The 20,193-nt window shown below is 37.7% G+C and overlaps 1 protein-coding gene across 13 annotated transcripts in view; it reads right to left on the bottom strand.

Annotated features, from left to right (window-relative positions):
• Positions 1-20,193, bottom strand: part of GALNT1 (polypeptide N-acetylgalactosaminyltransferase 1) — a 130,913-nt gene that overhangs the window by 46,231 nt on the left and 64,489 nt on the right. For 10 of the 13 annotated variants that reach the window (XM_047437466.1, NM_001384441.1, NM_001384440.1 and 7 more), the window contains 2 exons: positions 10,803-11,044; positions 1,802-1,976 (listed from right to left, as the gene is read on the bottom strand). In XM_047437466.1, coding sequence (XP_047293422.1) covers positions 1,802-1,976; positions 10,803-10,941 — 314 coding nt within the window. In that variant the 5' untranslated portion in view covers positions 10,942-11,044. Of the gene's footprint in view, positions 1-1,801; positions 1,977-10,802; positions 11,045-19,426; positions 19,640-20,193 lie in introns of all 13 variants that reach the window. The other 3 variants (NM_001384439.1, NM_001384438.1, NM_001384446.1) reach the window with 2 other exon arrangements.

The following is a 20,193-nucleotide window of genomic DNA, read 5'->3' as shown; positions in this document are numbered from 1 at the left end:
GGTCTTTTTTCCCCCCTGGGGGTTGAAATCCTCAGTGTTCTGAAAGTCACAATGTCTTGGAGTACAGTCTATTTTCATCTATTGTCCCAAAAAGTTGGTGGGCTCTTTCAATTTGAAAATTTGTGCAGTTCAGTTATGGAAAATTTTGTGGATAAATTTTCTCTTCCCTATTTTTAAAATTCTTTTTGAGACTCCTATTATTAAAATATTGGATTTCTTGATTGTTATTTCAATGTTCATATAATTTTACTGTTGTCCATCTCTTTGGTGCATTTTTCTTTATTTTCAAAAGCTCTTTCTGGTTCTCTCAGTGTATCTTTTGAATAATATCCTATTCTCATTTTATGGTTGTAATATATTCTCTATTTTGTTGAGGTTATTAGTTATTTCTCTTTATGTGTTCTACCTTAATAGTTTTTGTTTCCTCAAAGTTGCTTTTCTCTGTTTGTTGAGGGTTTCCTGAGATGTCTAGTATTCCTTGCTTACCTATTTGTTATTAAGAATGGAAGACCAAGAGGCTGAATATGAGGCCTAAACACATGAGTAGGACTCAATGACTATGAGTTTCCATAAGGGTGATCAGGCTGTGCCATTAAGTTGGAAACTTTCCCAAGTCAATCAGCACTAAAGTGCAATTTGTTGGAAATTCAGCACATACTTTTCATTCATATACTATCAGGACCACACTAGGTACTTACCCTTCTCTCTAGGCCTATCCAATTCTGATGAGAAAGATCTTCCAGTCTCTTCTCTGGAGGAGGCAAGCTTGGCTGCCAGCATCAATGAGAGCAAGGAGTTTAGGGGGCCTCAGCACAGAATGTACATGTTCACTTACTCTACCTATTTTCTGTATAGTTTGCTTGCTTTTAACTGGGCCTATGGTACTCTAGTACCTTGTATTACCTTCTTCTTATGGAGCAACTAGACATCTAACTAATATATTGCTGATAGGAGTGTAAATTGGTATAAACATTTTGGGAAAATATTTGGTAGCACATGCTAATGCTATATAAATGCATAACCTATTCCTTTCTCTAGTACATAGCATACGGTAATGGGCACTTAAGTCCTCCAAAAGACATGAACAAGAATGTCACAATAGCTTTATTTATAGGGGTCAAAAAGTAGAAATAATCCAAAGGTCTATCAATGTATAAATAAACAATGGCATATTCATATTACAAATCACTATTTGCAGTAGAAAAGAATAAAATTCTGATACATGCAACAATATGAATCTTAAAGGCACAAAAAATGGTGTGGATCCATCATAAAAAGTTCAAAAAGAGACAAAACTAATCTATGTTTAGAGAGGTCAATATAACGGCTGCCTCTGGGGATGTAAGTAATGACTACAAAAAACATAAGGAGACTTTCAGGGGTGATGGGATCATTCTATGTCTTGATTTGGCTGATGGTTACACAGGTGTATACATAGCAAAAAATTCAGTGAGCTGTATACTTACGACTGTGTATTTCACTGTTTCAAGTTACATACAACTTAAATCTTTTTGTAAAAAGTTGAGTATGTGAGTATTTTGGTAATAATAAAGTTTAAAATCCCCTTCTAATCCATTAAGATAAATAATTATCTTCCAATGCCTGAAATACATAGTGCTAATAATCAGTAGAAGCTTGAGATATTATTTCTATCAGCATTTAATTATTTTCTAAGTGGGGTAAGTAGTAACATAGTGATATAACATTTGCCTTAAGAACAATCAGCACTCAAGTGCAATTTACTGAAAATTCAGAATATACTTTTCATTCACATACTATCAGGACCACAGTAAGTACTTACCCTTCTAACCTAACATCTGGTAAAGATCTGTTGAGTGCAATCATCTCACTTGCCATTAAATTGAACTGATTGATTTTAAACATCTCTTTCATCTTTTCTTGATCCTCTTTAGGAATGACGACTGGTTTCCCCATTTCTCCAGGACCTTCATGAGGCTTTTGTACTGGCTCTAGAACTAAGAATAGGAAGAAACTTAACTAACATTAATTTCATAGCAATTGATTGATTCATGATTCTATTTAATAACATTTGTGTTTGAACTGTGCCCTCAACAACCAGAACCCTTTCTGAGCCCACCCTCTCCTAGGCTGTTAACCCTTTCAAGGGGCTGTCTTGTCCTCTACCTCCACACCAGTGTCCTGACTCAAGACTTCGTCACCTTGCCCCACTCACCTGAGTCACTGCATGGTGTTGGCTCCCAACTCAAAAACTACTGCCACACTGATCTCCTTAAAGTGCAGCCTTCATTGTTATTCTTATGGCCTCCTAGAGTCCAACCTCTGTAATGGGGAATTGAACCTAATTTTCCAAAACTATCACCTGCTAGACCTTTTCCTCCCATCCCACAGTACTTCATCTTGCAGTCAAACAGCCACCCACTGCCTTCCTTCCAACGTGCCTCACATTCTCCTGCTTCCATGCCTTTGCTCACATCCCCTCACGGCTTCCATCGCTGCAACACCAAATCCCTATTTGCCTTCCCATGCCCAACTAAAATGGCTTCTCTTCCCTGTAGCTTTTCTGAATCTCTCTATAGTGGTTATTTACTAGTCTTGACTATCACATTATTTCATTCAGGGTTCTTATGTCTCTAACCAATTGCTATCTCTCATTATAATGATTGTCAAACCTGTCTTATGTACCCCTCCCATTAGAACAAGAATTCTCATCAAAAGTAATGTTATCTCTTGATACAGACATAAAAAGAGCAATGTGCCTGATCAGCACTTCCCAAACTTTCTTCCTTATGTTTTTGAGACGTTAATAAATGTCCAAGAAAAACAGGTTCTGGGATATATTAAATTTGGAAGGTGCTATGTTAAACTTCTCATCTATAAGGGATGGCTAAAGAATGAGGTGAGGTCAAAAATGGGATGAAAATATATTTTATGCATTACTTATTTTAAAATCTAAAGTTTTATTCTCTTGTAGATTGTTTTTTAGGCATCCTCAAAACATTTCTAAACAAAAAATAGTGGCATCAAGGCAGCAGAAAAGCCATCTCTCTTCAGTCAGGCTTCATCTGTACAAGAACAGGACGAGCTGGTAAAGCTGACTTTAGGGTGATTGTTTCAGCCAGTGGTACAAAGCCACCTACCAATACCAGAGCTGCAGGATATGAAACTATTCACTGTGTCCTCAACCACGTCCAGAATTTAAAAATAGATTTCAGAAAATGATGATGAAAAAAGTGTGCATTAGTTTTCCCCTGTTCTCAGGATAAATTGGGATTTTATGTGGAACATTAAAATAGTAGAAAATTACTTTAAAAATTATAGGAAACTCAAGTAACATAGTTTTTAAAAACAAGTCCTGCCTAATGTTTGCCCAGTAAGTAAGCTCCTTAAATATGAGAGTTGGTAGAGTTTTTAAAAATTCTCAATGACAAAAATCATCAACAAGTGTAGTAAAAACTATAAGTACAGAAGTGTAATACTCCATATAAAATCAGCCTTTAAAGCTTTAAAAATCAAATACTGTTAAACTCGTATAGTCATTTCTACTTGCCAGTCTCTGAAAGTAAAGAACAACCAACAGATTTTGAGATTGGTACATCAGTGGTCAAAAGGAACCGGCAGAGTTCTGAAGGTGACAAAAATCTTTTGTGGATGGCACAGATAACATAAAGAGTAGGTGGGAGACATCTAGTGGCCCTGATTATAAATATCCTTCTGTTACCCATGCTCTATTTTAGTATAAAATGCTTTATAGAAAAATCAAAATAGAAACGTTTTCATGCTGCTCAGTTTTTAAATGAAGAGTATTAACATATACATATACCATCTGTGTTTTTACTAGGGGGAAAAAGATCCTCAACCTGATCAAGCCTCTAGACCTAATTTACAGGAAATATACGGGACAAAGGGACATGGCATGCACCATTAAAGGGATGCAAATCCAGACTGCAGGAAACTGGAAAAGAGAAATACCTCAATTTCTTCTTCAACAACAAACAAAACAGGTCTGAGGGAGACAAAGAGAAAGAGGTATCCATGCCACAAAACTAGCCATGAGTTGACAACTCTTGAAGCCAGATGATGGATACATGAGAGTTTAATTTTTTTTTTTTGATTTTTTTTTTTAAGACAGAGTCTCGCTCTGTCACCCAAACTAGAGTGCAGTGGTGCAATCTTGGCTCACTGCAACCTTTGTCTCCCAGATTCAAGCGAATTGTCCTGTCTCAGCCTCTCCAGTAGCTGGTATTACAGACACGCGCCACCATATCTGGCTAATTTTTGTATTTTCAGTAGAAATGGGGTTTCACCATGTTGGCCAGGCTGGTCTTGAACTTCTGACCTCAGGTGATCTGCCCACCTTGGCCTCCCAAAGTGCTGGGATTACAGGTGTGAGCCACCGCTCCCAGCCATGATTTTCTATTCTCTCTACTTTTGTTTCTGTTTGAGAATTTCCATGGTGGAGGGGGGCATTAAGGAGGACTGGAGAAATTATTACTATAAATACTACAAAATATAAACTTAATTGCTTATTACACATGAAATTATATAACCAGAAGCTTAAAGTTGGTTTTGAGATCTTAAAGAATCAGGCAAAAATGTACAGCATATACAATCCTGCTGATGCACTATTTTGCACATTTCATCACCTGATATTTATTAATCTGAAAATCTAACATAGTGCCTGCATTATGTACTCTAACCTACTGTTACATATGAAATTTCAGAGCCACATTTAAAATTATCATTAATCAAAAGTTACATGTCTACTGAATGATTTAGAGAATGCACCACAATACTCTAATTATTAATAAGAAAATACAATATCCTACAGAATTAAATGGACTATTAAACTAATTTTCTTGGCAAACGAGTTTGGATGAAATGCATGTGGTTAGTGAATATATGTTACTATTAATGCATTTATAGCATTAGAAAGCAACTAAAAAGATGGTAAGTATAAACTTTCCATGTTCTCTACTGCCAGTCTTCTATGTGTATTAAAAGTAGGTTCTGTGAAAATTTTATTAGAAAGAAACTGAAATGAGTTTGGATGTCATTTCATGAACTAAAGAAAATATCTTTGCATAAAATTCTACATGCAGCTCATTTCTAAGAATCAAATCACTTTGACAAGGGAGGGACAAAGGTGTTATTCCAAAGTATTATGTGAGAACAAACATATTTTATTATATACTTCAGTTAAGTTTCATTTACATGACACTGTAGATAAGTATCATGTTTTAGAAAAGGTAATTACCAAGAAAACTACAGGTTCACTCTGAAAGCCCCCAAATAAGATTAACATACACAAACCACTGGCATGCCTTTGAATACACTTTAAGGATATTTTTCAAATTTCTTATGTGTGTTTCTCTCAGGAAAGTAGACTAAAGTTATATGACTTCTTTTTGGGGTAAATATACTAATAAAAGGCTAAAATCATTTCTCCCAAACTATTTTCTGATCTTACTACACAATTAACATTTTTACTGTCCTTATGCACTATATTCACTATTTCAAAATGTTTCCTACTATATTTTAACATTTCTGAAATTGGAATGTGGCTCACAATGGTAACTGGAATGTTATCACTTTTACGGTGGTATACAGAATATTCTATAAACAAAGGTATGTAAGATGCAATAAAATGCAGTACACTATCTGATTTTTTAAACATCAAAATATCATCTATACCTTAACTCACTGGTAACTTTCTGCTACTTCAACATCCTTGTCAATTTCCAATTTCATGTTCAATTTACCTGCGCTGCATATATAAAAATCAACACTTAAAAATTTGTTATAAAGTTATTATAGCCTTTACTAGTAATATTTTAAAGTTTTTTATCATTGTAAGTTTTTTCCATAAACCATGTTCTCCAAGGCTTCCTAATGTTCAACAGTTGAAATAATTCCAGCATAAGTACATGAAAAGTTAAATCATTAATATTTTAATGATCTGAAAATGCAGTACTGACATGAAGAATCAATTACTACTTGAAACTGCATCTTTAAAAATACTGAACACTCTATATAACACCCAAATCCATAAAGTGGATAAATGGGCTAATTCTGGAAAGCAGAAGAGTGTAAAAATATTCCTAGGCCATAACCCCCACTACCCGTATTCTTTCAAGGGAGCCCAATCTAACTCTAGCAGCAGCAGAACTCTGCTATTTTCAGATAGCCTCAGGTATAAAATACAAGTATAGACTTAAGAGAACGACTCAGAAAAAACAAACCCCTCTGGAGTCACCAAAGACTCACTATTCCTTGAAGCAGGCAAGTAACAAGTAAATAGAAGAATCTTAGAAAACTCTTAAGTACAGCATATCAACAACAATGTTACAGGAAGTCTTCAGCATTATCACAATGACATCAATCCATTCTATTCAAACCTAGGAAAACTTTTTTCACAGCAGAGACAGTAAAATTTGCTAAATTTCACCGAAATCAGAGCTGTAAAGCAGAACGTTCAGAAATTAGGTACTTCCAATATGAAAAAGTCACTCTGGAGTGTAATACTGCTCAATGCTTTTTGTTGTTTTGTTTTGGTTGTTTGTTTTAAAACAAAGATCCAGGAGGCCCTATGTGTTCTATTAAGAGAGACTTTGATGCCAGGCACAGCAGCTCACTCCTGTAATCCCAGCACTTTGGGAGGCTGAAACAGGCAGATCACCTGAGGTCAGGAGTTTGAGACCAGCCTGGTCAACATGGTGAAACTCCGTCTCTACTAAAAATACAAAAATTAGCTGGGCATGGTGGCGGGTGCCTGTAATCCCAGCAACTCGGGAGGCTGGGACAGGAGAATCGCTTGAACCCAGGAGACGGAGGTTGCAGTGAGCTGAGATCACGCCATTGCACTCCAGCCTGGGTGACAGAGTAAGACTCTGTCTTTAAAAAAAAAAAAAAAAAGAGAAACTTTGAGGTCACATAATGTACATGCTAATTCCACTAGAAAGTTGGCATCCTTGGTGCCATTACCCATTCCCTCTCCCTGATCCTCTTTAGTAAACATCTCTTCAAATGCACCACAGAAATTTGTCACTAGCAGAACCTTAACAACCTCTGGGCTCTGAAAAGACTTAAGACCTCTCAGCACCTACTGCACTGAAACTTCATATCAAAGCAGATTTTTCAAACTGTTGCTTATTAGCATCAACTGTGCTCTTCCCCTAATCATTTCTTCCCTTAAGACTACCAGGGACCTCAAAGATTATCTCCCCTTAGCTATGTACTTCCCCTCCAGCCTACGGCTCAGCCCTTCCCTCACGCTTGGAGGTCCTTCTCAGTCTGTCCCCTGAACACCCTGACACCCCCAGGCTGTTGTAAAGCCTCTCCACTGTCTGGTCTCCACAATACACAGGCTCCATCTACAGACTTAACTGAAGTCTAGCTCTCCTCCAGAGTCCATTTAACCTCACAACTGTTTCTGGGAGAATGATTCGTTCTCCTTTCCTCCAGAGGCAAGGAGGCCATCTCATACCTCCGTTACTTTCAGACTTTTGCTCCTTTAGCTTGTACTTTTGTACAAAACCCAGTCTTTTTCTTTGAAACTTATGCCACTAGTGGTTGTCAAAACTATAATAACCTGTGGATGCTCTTTGAGGAGAATCCTTTTCACGTTTCTGATACCCCACTGTCTCATCTGCTGAGAATTTGTTCTTTCAAGTATTCCTCCTTTCCCCTATAGTTTAAACCTCTTCCTGAACATACATAAATAATAATAAATACATAGAAAACCAACTTCGGCTCCATTTCTCTCTTGTAACTACCGTATACTACATGCTTCCCTTCATGCTGAAGCTTCCTAAAGAACAGCCACATCCCTACTGTTTCTCCAGTATATTGAATCCAGAATCCACTGACTTCCACAGTTACCATTCCCTGAAATGACACTTGCCAGGGTCACAAGAAGCCCCATACCAAACTATCAGAAACACTTTATTTTAGGTAAAACCTCTGAGCAAATGCCACCCTTGGCTGGGCTTCTATGACCTACTCCTTGGGGCTTTTCATTCCACTCTGACTTCCTGGGAAGCCTTCTCTTCCTTCAGTGACCCTCCAGGAGGGGCTCTCCAACAGGGAGTCTGTGTCTTCCAACTCTACACATACCATGCACAGCCTCAGGTACAGAAAAGACTTAAACTACCATCTATTTTCTCCATCTCGACCATTCTCTACTGCAGAACATCGCTACCAGTTCCTCAAAGTTAAATATTCCAAACTCAGGTTGGGTGCGGTTGTTCACACCTGTAATCCCAGCCCTTTGGGAGGCTGAGGCAGGTGGATCACCTGAGGTCAGGAGTTCGAGAACAACCTGGCAACATGGTGAAACCCCATCTCTGCTAAAATACAAAAATTAACTGGGTGTGGTGGCGTGCGCCTGTAACTGCAGGTACTCAAGAGGCTGAGGCAGGAGAATTGCTTGAATTCAGGAGGCAGAGGCAGCAGTGAGCCGAGATTGTGCCACTGCACTCCAGCCTTGGTGACAGAGCGACATTCCATCTCATTCATGAATAAATAAATAAGAAAAATGAAAAAAAAAATTCCAAACTCAACTTCATGCATCCACCTTTTCATCAAAGCTGCTCCTCTTCTAAGGAGCATCAATTCGTCCAACCATGGAGACATGAAAGCCACCTTAGACTTTTCTCTTTCTCTTATTCCCTACATTCGATGGCCCCCCAGGTTATGTAAACTCCACTACTTAAATGCTTTTCATACATATTTATTTCCTCTCCATCTCCAGTGTCATTTTAGTGTCTGTTCCAAGCTCTTTTCCAAACTCTCACAACAGTCTCAGACTGGTATCTGCTACCTGCCTCGTCCTCTTCCAGTCCACCAGTTACATGACCACCAAAGCATTCTTCCAGAAGTCCAGGTCCGATCAGGCCTTACTCCCTTGTTTAAAGTGCTTCAGCGCCATGCCGCTGTCTACAGATGAAGTCCAAAACCCCTAGCATGCCATAAAAGGCCTTGTGTGACATGGCCTCTGCCACCTCCTGTGCTCTTGTTCTCCTATCAACTCGTTCTCACTTGCTAATCTTGCACATCCTTCTTTCCTTTGCTTGGAAGGTCTTCTCCTCTCCTAACAAACACCTGCTCAAGCTGATACTAAGCTGGAACATACTTCCTTATTGCAGCTTCTCAGACACCCCAAGGCATTCCTTCCTTTCTACTCTTGTGCACATTCCTAAAGTGATATTTATTACGCTGATATTTACTATTGTTATTTCTATTCCATTAGACTGTGAGTTCCCTGAAGGGAGGAATTTTGTCTTATTTTTTTGTTCAGCTGTGTATCAACAGCACCTAGTACCTTGCCCAGCACATATAAAAGTCAAAAAAAATTCAAGTGAATCTACACATGCTATAGAGCCTATTCTTTCTCACTGTCAAGTCTTTACATTTAAGATAGAACACCATGAGCTTATTATAAATGGCAATGAATTAAGGTAGGGTGAGGGGAAATTTATTCCATTCTATTTGGGAAAAGAATACTCAAGTTTCTGACTGATGAATCGTAATACCTGTTCTTTGATTTAAACATAGACAGTATGAATACAGTTCTAGCAACAGTTAAGGTGGCAACATTTTGTCACCCAACAAAGATACTCAACAGCAGAGCTATAAAGTAAATATTATGCAAACTAATAGGCTGACTTTGGATGAAAAATGTATTAAAACATTTGGAAAAAGTGAAAATTTAAGTTAGGAATTAGCCTAGGCATTACTGGAATTCAGTGCTAGCAACTAAGCCTAATTTTAGGCAGATTTCCCAAGAAGATATAAATAGAACCAGTTATGTAAGCCCACATATAACAATTAAAGTTAAGTTGGTACAGTTAACAATACAAATCAATATTTTTTTTCTATTGTAAATTTTGGGGGACCAAAGGCCCTTCTCATCATAAAAGTATAAAAAATTTAAATGTGGCTATATGCTTAAAGAAAACATGTTTAAAGAGTAATTATTTGTATATAATTTCTAAAAATAGTAGAACTGCTGTATAGCCATGTATTCTATAACTAATCACAGAGTTCAGAGCCCAGAACAACTGGATTACTGACTCTTGCAATGCAGTCATTTTCATTATGGTTAAAAACAAAAAAAAAAAAAAAGAATTTTTTAAAAAATGGCAACATTTGTTTGTTGAATAAAAGGAGTTTAAAACTGAATTTTCCAATGTCCTCTGCCAAAAATATCAGTACTACCTATTACCTCCCTCCTTTATATTTGTATATTTATTTCCTTTCCATACTAGATATTGCAATGATCTCACTGCAGCCTCTATTCTATCACCCAATCTTTTCAAAAAAGTTCTCCCTAAAAGTGCTAACTGCAGCTATCTAAAACATTAACAACAACAACAACAACTTCTACAGATCACATCTATCTATAAAAATTTCTTCCCCTTAGGAATGAGATGGGAGGGGAGGAGTAATCTCTTTTGATACCTTATAATGCAATTTTAATGCTCCACTCAGCATTTTGGCATTAGACTAATCTTCTGTACAATTTTGATATCCCAACTATGAGATACCCACATTATTTAGTAACATAAAGTAACTTACAGGAAATTAACTACACTAAATATTGAACACAAAAATCGAATTCAGCAATTCTATATATGATACTTTCATGCTTTTAACTGCTGGATGAACCCATTGGAGAACTATCAATATGATCCTCATATCTCCCACAGGAAGTCACAGACTACAGTTAATCTAAAAAAGTTAAAATTTTATATTATCCAAATTAGTTAGTAAAAACCAGTGATATAGTAGTTAAAACAGCTCTATTATAAAATGTCACTCACCATCTCCAGCAGGAAGTCCTCTCTCCTTTTTTTCATCACATTTGTTGCATTCACTGAAGTAAAGCAGCAGGAACATATCCAAGAGTACCCAAATCAAGGAGGTGGCTAGGACCACCTTGCAGTATGCAAATTTTCTCATGGCACTTTAAGTCAAATGCAAAATTTAAAAATATATATATATAAATATACAAAGATCATGAAAATTATTCCAATCCAGTTTCATCAGAAATCACGTTCATACCCTATAGAGAAAGAAAGGAAAAAAGATTAACTTAAAAATTCAGAACATCAAAAGTGAATTATAAAATTAATTTAATATTATAAACATTAAGTAATATGAATTATTAATTTCATTAAGAATAAGAAATTTCACTATGAAGACTATGTTTGAAAATCAGACTTGGAAAAATGCTTATAAAATATATAAAGAGTATCAGGACTATATAAATAATTCCTACAAATCAATATACAACAATCCAATAGGAAAATAGGTAAAGGACATAAACAGGTACTTTGTAGAATGGAAACCTAAATAGCCAATAAACATGTAGAAAAGTGCTCAATTCCCTACAATTAGGAAATGCAAATTAAAACAACAGTGAGCTACTATTTCACACCCATCAAACACCTGGGTCTTAACTACCTTCCTACTCAACTGCTGTATTATACGTTAAGGTAAAAGTCAAGCTATTAATTACCATAGGGGGTTAGGCAACTAGTGATTCCCAGTGCATTTCAACTGTCCACATTCAGTACCCAGGCTCAAGAATTAATAGAGTTCTCCTTGTAGCCTGCACTACAGCAGCTTCCTGAGTTAACTCTCGTTCCTCTTTCACACTGAATCCCATTCTAAAACTGCAACAGTCACCAATCATTCAGGAAACAGATTCGTGGAAAGTATAATGGAAAAGAAAAGTATATGTCATAAGATCTGACATTTAGTCTTGGCTCTGACAATAATTTTATACACTTCCCTGATTTTTAGTTTCCATTTCCCACCCTACTACCTCCCTTTATTATGTTATACCATGATGAGAAAATGACTAGAGGAATGGTTACCAATTTTGAAAAGTCATTTGGGATAGTTTGAGCATAGGTGTCTTAAGCGTAAGGAATTCATCTTGGAGCATGATGAAGCAGCCTGAGAGACCTCAGAGAGGTAGAGAATCTCCTGCTCAGCAGCTGACTCTAAGGCTCAAAGCCTGTGTCACTGAAGACCAGGAGAAATATAAACCAAGTGCATTCCTATGAAGTGGAGTGAGGAAACAGAGTCTGCACTGTGTCTATGCTGAAAGCTACAAATGCAGATGCCCTGGAAGGACCAGAATGTGGGCAAGATAACAGCTTCTTACAAGGGCAACTTTATGCAACAAGTTCCATGGTGGCCAACAGAGATGCACTTACCTGAACAATTCAGGGCAGGCCTGTAGTTTATCCATGAAATATATACAGCAGTTCTTGCCTACTTCACAAGGTTGCTAGAGAGCAACCTGAGAAAACACTAAGTGATACTTATAAATGTAAAGTTATTATTTATGCTCATCTCTCTAGGGGCTTTGATCTCTTGCCTATATTCCTCCTTTCATCAAACCAATACTCCCTGACTGCAAGATGAAAACAAGGATGCTACTGTCATGTTCTTACCTCAAAATCATGCTTACTCAATACCTGATACTGGGTCACCTGTAGTGAGCAACTTACTGATAACTATGGTAACTGAGGTGAGGGGAGAACCTAAAGCATTAGAGTGCACAATGTCATGGAACAAAAGTTCTCACCAGATAAACTATATACATACATTTATATTTTGTGTTATTTCATATGAAAAGCTGCCTCTTTTGATCACTGGCAAAGCAGTCTGATTGCTGGTGCAACATCTGAATTTCAAATGTGGTTTTACGGTCTCTAAAATCCTATTTGAAAAAAATGCCTGCAGAATAGTTAAATGTAAGTATAACTTTTCATCTACTTCTACTTAAGTTTCGCAAGGGTGCACAATTAGCTTTTAAGATTGAAGGTGAAGTGCAGTGAAGAGGGAGTGTTTGGGAGAAGAGGGGTGTGTGGCACACCCTACATGGAGTATGGGGAGAAAGGAAGATAAAGGAGAGGCAAAAAATGATTCCCAGATTTAAGGCCAAGGTAACTAGCTAGACAGATGATGGTAATGCAACAATGAAAGGAAATACGGACTAAATCATCAGTTCAGTTAGTTCACACTGAATGTGAGGGGCCTCATGTCGAGGTGTCAATAGGCAGTCAGGGGAGTAACTGGGTCTGATGTGAAAAGGCAGGTTTGTTAGGCATACATACACAAGCAGCAGCTGGGGTTGGCAGAGGGGACGATGTGGCCGATGAAAATGGCAGAGAGAAAAAAGGGGGCTGAAACTCCAGGACACCCATCACCTTCCACATACTGCAGAAAACAGACCCCTCTGAGAGAGGCATGAAAAGTCAGAGGAAGGAAGGAGTATGGATAAACAATGTTAGACCCTCTATGAGGCTGAGATAACAAAGAAAGAATGTCCACAGGGTTTGGCTCTTAGGACGAGGCCACTGGTAATTTGGGGTTTCTATTACTGTTCCCCGCAAGGGAATGAGGTCACAGAAGGCTTGCTCATCTCTGTAAGCTTCTAAGAGAAAACTCTTAGAAAATGTCTTCTTTGAGATGTTTCTTTGAGATCATAACCGTACCAGGAAGAAATCTGGTGAAGAGCAAATAACATGTAAGGAACTTGATTTTTTTTACTTTGTTGTTTATGTTCAATAAAAAAAAAAAGGCTACTTATGTCTTTAGAAAATTGAAGATAAAGTTCCAAGTATGTTGCCACCAATGTTTGCAATTGTCATCAAAGATATAAGATGTAAAAGAATGAAAAAACATTTATTTAAATATGGCAGATAATTTTTCTTTCTAAAGAGTTGTTTAAAAGATTGTTAATTTGCACGACCCATTGCAGGTAAGATTCTAGTTTTCATATGTAATTAAATAATTATTACTTCAATTTGTTTAATGAAAGCTAGTACAATGTATTTAATGAAAGAATTGCTACCTTTATTGCCACCATTATTGTAAAGTTATTCCTTATTCTCCACTTACTAAGCAACTTTTGTGTGTCCTTCGCTGTCCTTAAAATGAAGGATAGAAAGAAAACCAAGTCCTTGTTCCAAAAGGCACACAAAGCTCAGTCAAAGAACAAATCAGCAGGTGGGGAAAAGAGTCAGAGCTGAAGAGAACTGTCCAACAACAAATTTCAGTCCTTTAAGAGACTACAGGACATCAAACCCCAAAGTAATATAGTAACAATGTCTTCAGACTTCATTATTTGATCCAAGAAACTCAAGGCCAATTTTATATTTTTGATATAATATTTTTCATTACTAGAAAAAATTAATATATTACAAAATCAGACTTTTAAAATTACATTTTGAAGTTTTTTTCCTCAAGGTAAAGGGGTGGTGGCAGTTTCTTTATAAAAATAGTTATGGTGCAAAATTATGAATGCATTGTTGAGTCATAAATCATATTTTTAGGTTCATGATAGCCATTAATAAGTAATATTAATATGATCTCCTTGTTCAGAAAGATTAGCCATAATCTAGGAAGCCTTGAAAAGGAATTTCACATTTGCCCCAGAGACCTTTAATAAGGTTCAGGAAACAAAAGAAGTTTTGTTGCGGGAAGTCAGGGACCCCGAACGGAGGGACCAGCTGAAGCCATGGCAGAAGAACATAAATTGTGAAGATTTCATGGACATTTATTAGTTCCCCAAATTAATACTTTTATAATTTCTTATGCCTGTCTTTACTGCAATCTCTGAACAAATTGTGAAGATTTCTTGGACACTTATCACTTCCCCAATCAATATTCTTGTGATTTCCTATGCCTGTCTTTGCTTTAATCTCTTAATCTCATCATCTTCTTAAGCTGAGAATGAATGTCGCCTCAGGACCCTGTGATGGTTGTGTTAACTGCACAAATTGTTTAAACAATATGAAATCTGGGCACCTTGAAAAAAGAACAGAGTAACAGTGATGTTCAGGGAACAAGGAAGATAACCTTAAAGTCTGGCTGCCTGTGGGCCGGGCGGAACAGAGCCATATTTCTCTCTTTCAAAAGCAAATAGGAGAAATATTGCTGAATTCTTTCTCTCAGCAAGGACCATCCCTGAGAAAGAGAATGGTTTCCCAAGGGGTCTCTGAAATGGCCGCTTTGGGAACGTCTGTCTTTTATGGTTGTAGATAAGGGATGAAATAAGCCCCGGTCTCCCGTAGCACTCCCAGGCTTATTAGGACGAGGAAATTCCCGCCTAGTAAATTTTGATCAGACCGGTTGTCTGCTCTCAAACCCTGTCTCCTGATAAGATGTTATCAATGACAATGTGTGCCCAAAACTTCATTAGCAATTTTAATTTCGCCACGATCCTGTGATCTCGCCCTGCCTCCATTTGCCTTGTGATATTTTTTAATACCTTGTGAAGCATGTGAACTCTGTGACCCACACCCTATTCGTACACTCCCTCCCCTTTTGGAAATCACTAATAAAAACTTGCTGGTTTTACGGCTCGGGGGCATCACGGAACCTGCTGACGTGATGTCTCCCCCAGACTCCCAGCTTTAAAATTTCTCTTTTGTACTCTCTCCGTTTATTTCTCAGACCGGAGGACACTTAGGGAAAATAGAAAAGGGCCCACATGAATATCAGGGCTGTGTTCCTCTGATAAAGTTTAAAGAACAAACATCCCACATTTTCCAGAGGCTGCTGGTGTTGCCTTCACCTGAGCAACTGCCCACTCTTCTAAGAGGAAAAGACTAACAACATCATCTGGGAATCTTCGGCACAGCAAAGGCACTGTCTGTCACAACAGACAACATTATTGGTGACAACAGTGCACCAGTGAGTGCTAACCTTAGCACTAAGCCAAGCCCTGCTCTCTACAACAGATCCACACATATACAGTCCATTGTTATGGAGAAATAACAGTTTTTTCAACAGTCCCAGAACAATTAGATATCCATATACAATAAAAACACAAATATTGGCCCATATCCTATACCACATACAAATATTAACTCAAATTTTTGAACTAGATCTGGAATAAAACAGAATAAAATCTTTTGAGACCCTGAGACCTTAGGCAAAGATTCCCTAGATAGAACAAAAAAGCACAAACCATTAAAAAAAATAAACTGGACTTCCTAACTAATCTTCAAAAGACACCATTAAGAAAATATCTGTTTATACTCAGGTGATACACCTTTATTGATTAAGCTAAAACTTCCAATTTTTCTTTGAAAGAAAATAAAGAGCAAGTCACAAATTTGGGAGAAAATATTTATAAGTCACATATCTGATAGACGACTAGTATCCGGAATATATAAAAAACTTTCAAAACACAGTAAGAAAACAAACAATCCAATAAAATAGGCAGAAGGTCTGAATTGTCACTTTACCAAAAAAGCCAAACACTTTTTTCAGATGGCAAATGAGTACATGAAAAGAAATTCAACATTAAATTAAAACCACAATGAAACACCACTATGAACTGATTAAAACAGCTAAAAGAAAAAAGAAAAACAACAAGTGCTGGAAAGGAATTGGAGCAACTGGAACTCTAATACGGTGCCAGTGGGAATGCAAAATGGTACAGCCTCTCTGGAAAACAGGGGAGTTTCTCCCCACAAGAATCTGTAATCCCGTTCCTATTTATTCAGGAGAAAGGAAAACATATCTGCACACAGCCCTGTATGCACATCTTTATAGCAGCCTACTTATAATCATCAATATCTGGAAACAATCCAAATGTCAATCATCTGATGAATGGATAAACAAATTGCACTATATTTATACAATGAAACACCACCCAGCAACCAGCAATAAATCAGATCAGCGGCTGCCAAGGGCTGAAAAAGGAATAGGGGATTGCCCATAAATGAATCTGTGGCAATGAAAACATTCCATAACTTTCTTGGGCTGGGGGTCATACAACTGTGTCCACTGTATAAACTTATACAACTGAACCTAAAATGATGAATTTTACTGTATATAAATTCAATCTCAATCAACTTAAAAATAAACAAACATGGGGGAGAGGATACCTCAAAGAAACAATGCCAGTTTTACAAAGAGAGAAACTGTTTTATGTTTTCTCAAAAGACACATACCAGAATTCATTTTGGAAGTAACTAAAAGTTGCTTATTTTGTCCCAACCACATAAGTTAAAACCTTCCATTTGAAATGCATTTAACTACTTATTTTTAAAGTTATAAAATTAGAGTTAATATCAAAGTATAGTGATTAATTACAGATGCTTCTCGACTTATGATGGGGTAATGTACCAATAAACCCATCATAAGTTGAAAACATCTTAAGTCGAAAGTCGAAAATGCCTTTAATACAACTAACCAACAGAACATTATAGCTTAGCCTAGCCTACCTTAAATGTGCTCAGAACACTTGCATTAGCATATAGTTGTGCAAAATCATCTAACACAAAGCTTATTTTACAATAAAGTGTTGAATATCTTATGCAATTTACTGAATACCATACTTACACATAAATTGTGATGGTTTTACACTCTCACAAAGTCAAAAAATCTTAAGTCAGGGCCCATTTGCATATCAGTAAACTTCTGATCCAATCCTCTCTCCCTCCCTCCCTCCCTTCCTTCCTTCCCTCCCTCTTTCCTTCCCTCCTTTCCTCCCTCCCTTCCACCCTTCCTCACTTCCTCCCTTCCTCACTTCCTCCCTTCCTTCTTCTTCTTCTTCTTCTTCTTCTCTTTTTGTTTTTGACAGGTTCTCACTTTGTACCCAGGCTGGTCTTGAATTCCTGGTCTCAAGTGATCCACCCACCACGGCCTCCCAAACTGCTGGGATTACAGGCACGCACCACCACGCCTAACCCTGATCCTATTCTTAATATCACATGCCAAATTTTCCCAAAGATTAATCAGTATTTTCTACGGCCAAATGATTTTCTCCTACCCCTCATATTTCTAACCAAAGCTCTCCAGAAAGTTTGAGAGAATCTCAGCTGGATAGTAACTTTCTGAGAAAACAAAGCTTCATTCTCTTGGATCCTAGCTTTACTCCTCTCTCCTGAGAACACAGCAGTCTCCCAGCCACCCACAGCCAGGATCACTAGTTTTACATCATACTAACCAGACAGAGGTATTACATATGAGAACCTTCGACAAATCTATTTATTTAATTAACAGCTAGAGTTTCTGCCAAGAAAACTAAAAGACTTAAAAAAGACAAGTGTTATCCTCCAATACAAATAAAAGAGCCTAGATTATTTTATTAATTTTATATTCTATTTGCTCTATTTCTCAAACAGAACTATAATCAATGTATTAATTCACTTATTAACTCATTCAGTCACCCAAACAGTAAATGTAGGGAATGTGTCAAATGCAGGGAATACAAGGGTGAACAAAATGCACACACTCCCTGACTTTATGAAGTTCAGAGTTGGCTCCAGGGAAGCAGACGTTAATAATCATATAAATGTGAAATTCCAATTGTGATAACTGCTTTGAAAGAAGGTACACAGCTCTACACACATCTATAATAGATTTGACTTTGTCAAAAAGGCTTCCCTAAGAAAGACATGGTTTGAGGGAAAATAAGCATTACAGGCAGTGAATAGTAAAGGCTCTACAGCAGAAAGGAGCCCAACACTGAAAAGCTAGTGAACTGAAGAAAAAGAAAAGGAAACTGTGATGTGAGATGAAGCTGGAGATGATAAAAGTGGGAAGATACAAGAGATACGATGGGACAAACTCAATCCTAGCTTGTACAGCTGGACAGAGAAAGGTGTCAATCATGGAAATGGGGACCAGTGAAAAAGGACCAATTTTTGGAGGGGAGGAGAAGATGGGAAGAAACGTTAAGTGTGATTTGGGACATGTTGAGTATGAGGTGCCTTTGAACCTTCAATGAGAGATGCTACCATGGCTGCTTGGATATACACAGGGCTCAAAGGAGAGGCCTGAGGTAAAGATATCCAGACAGAAGCCCTTGACTTATGCTACTCTGTAGGGCAGACAGACTAAAAGAAACACACAAAATACTTTTTGTATCATTTAACTTCCTCCTAGAGTGTGGGCTGGACTTAGTGACTTGCTTCTAACCAACAGAATATGATGGAAGTGAAGACTGAGTCATTAAACACTCTATGGCCTCCCCCAGCACTCTCTCTGATCACACTCTGGGGAAGGCCAGTGCCATGTCAGAAGGATGCTTAAGCATTCCTATGCAGAGGTCCACATAGTAAGAAACTGAAGCCTCCTGCTTACAACCAACATTATGCTGCCAGGCATGAAAGTGAGACCCCCTTGAAAGCAGCCCCAGGCAAGCCTTCAGATGACGGCAGCTCCAGCTGACATCTTGAGTACAACCTCATGAAAGATCCTGAGCCAATATCCTGCTAAGATGCTTGATATAGTTTGGCTCGGTGTCCCCACCCAAATCTCATGTTGAATGGTAATCCCCAGTATTGGGGAAGGGACCTGGTGGGAGGTAAAAGGATCATGGGGGCAGATTTCCCCCTTGCTGTTCTCGGGATAGTGAGTGAGTTCTTAGGAGATCTGATGGTTTACAAATGTGTGGCACTTCCCCCACCTCTTTCTCTCTCCTGCTCCTCCATGGTAAGACATGCTTGCTTCCCCTTCACCTTCTGCCATGATTGTAAGTTTCCTGAGGCCTCCTAGTCATGCTTCCTGGTAAGCCCGTGGAACTGTGAGTCAATTAAGCCCCTTTTCTTCATAAATTATCGAGTCTCAGGTAGTTCTTCATAGCAGTGTAAAAATGAACTAATACACTGCTCTTCCATTCCTGACCCAAAGAAAATATGAGATAATAACTTCATTGCTTAAAGCCATTAAATTTTTAGGTAATTCATTACTCAGCAACCGAAAACTTCAACAGCAAACTAGAACTAGAAAGGGAATTCTTTAATCTACAATAAACATCATATTTAATGATGAAGCTTCAGTTAAAATAAGGCAAGTTATGTATCCTCACTTCAGTCTGACACTGTACTGAAGGTCCAAGCAACAGATAAGAAAATGAATTAAGGATTAGGGGGAAAAAAACAAAATTATCATCTGCAGATGGTATGATTTCTACATAGAAATTATTTAAGAATCAAAAGATAAACCATTAGAGCTAATTATTGATTTCATAAGGCAGATGACTACAGATGAACATATAACATCAGTCGTGCTCCTATATGGTAGTTATAACTATTTAGAATATATAAAATAAACCGGCCAGGTGCGGCAGCTCACGCCTATAATCCCAGCACTTTGGGAGGCCACGGGCGGATCAGGAGGTCAGGAGATCGAGACCATCCTGGCTAACACGGTGAAACCCCGTCTCTACTAAAA

This window comes from Homo sapiens, chromosome 18 (assembly GCF_000001405.40).
Source record: "Homo sapiens chromosome 18, GRCh38.p14 Primary Assembly".
Taxonomy (NCBI): Eukaryota; Metazoa; Chordata; class Mammalia; order Primates; family Hominidae; genus Homo; species Homo sapiens.
The sequence above is the reverse complement of the archived record's forward strand: the minus strand, read 5'-3'. Positions and strand labels throughout refer to the sequence as shown.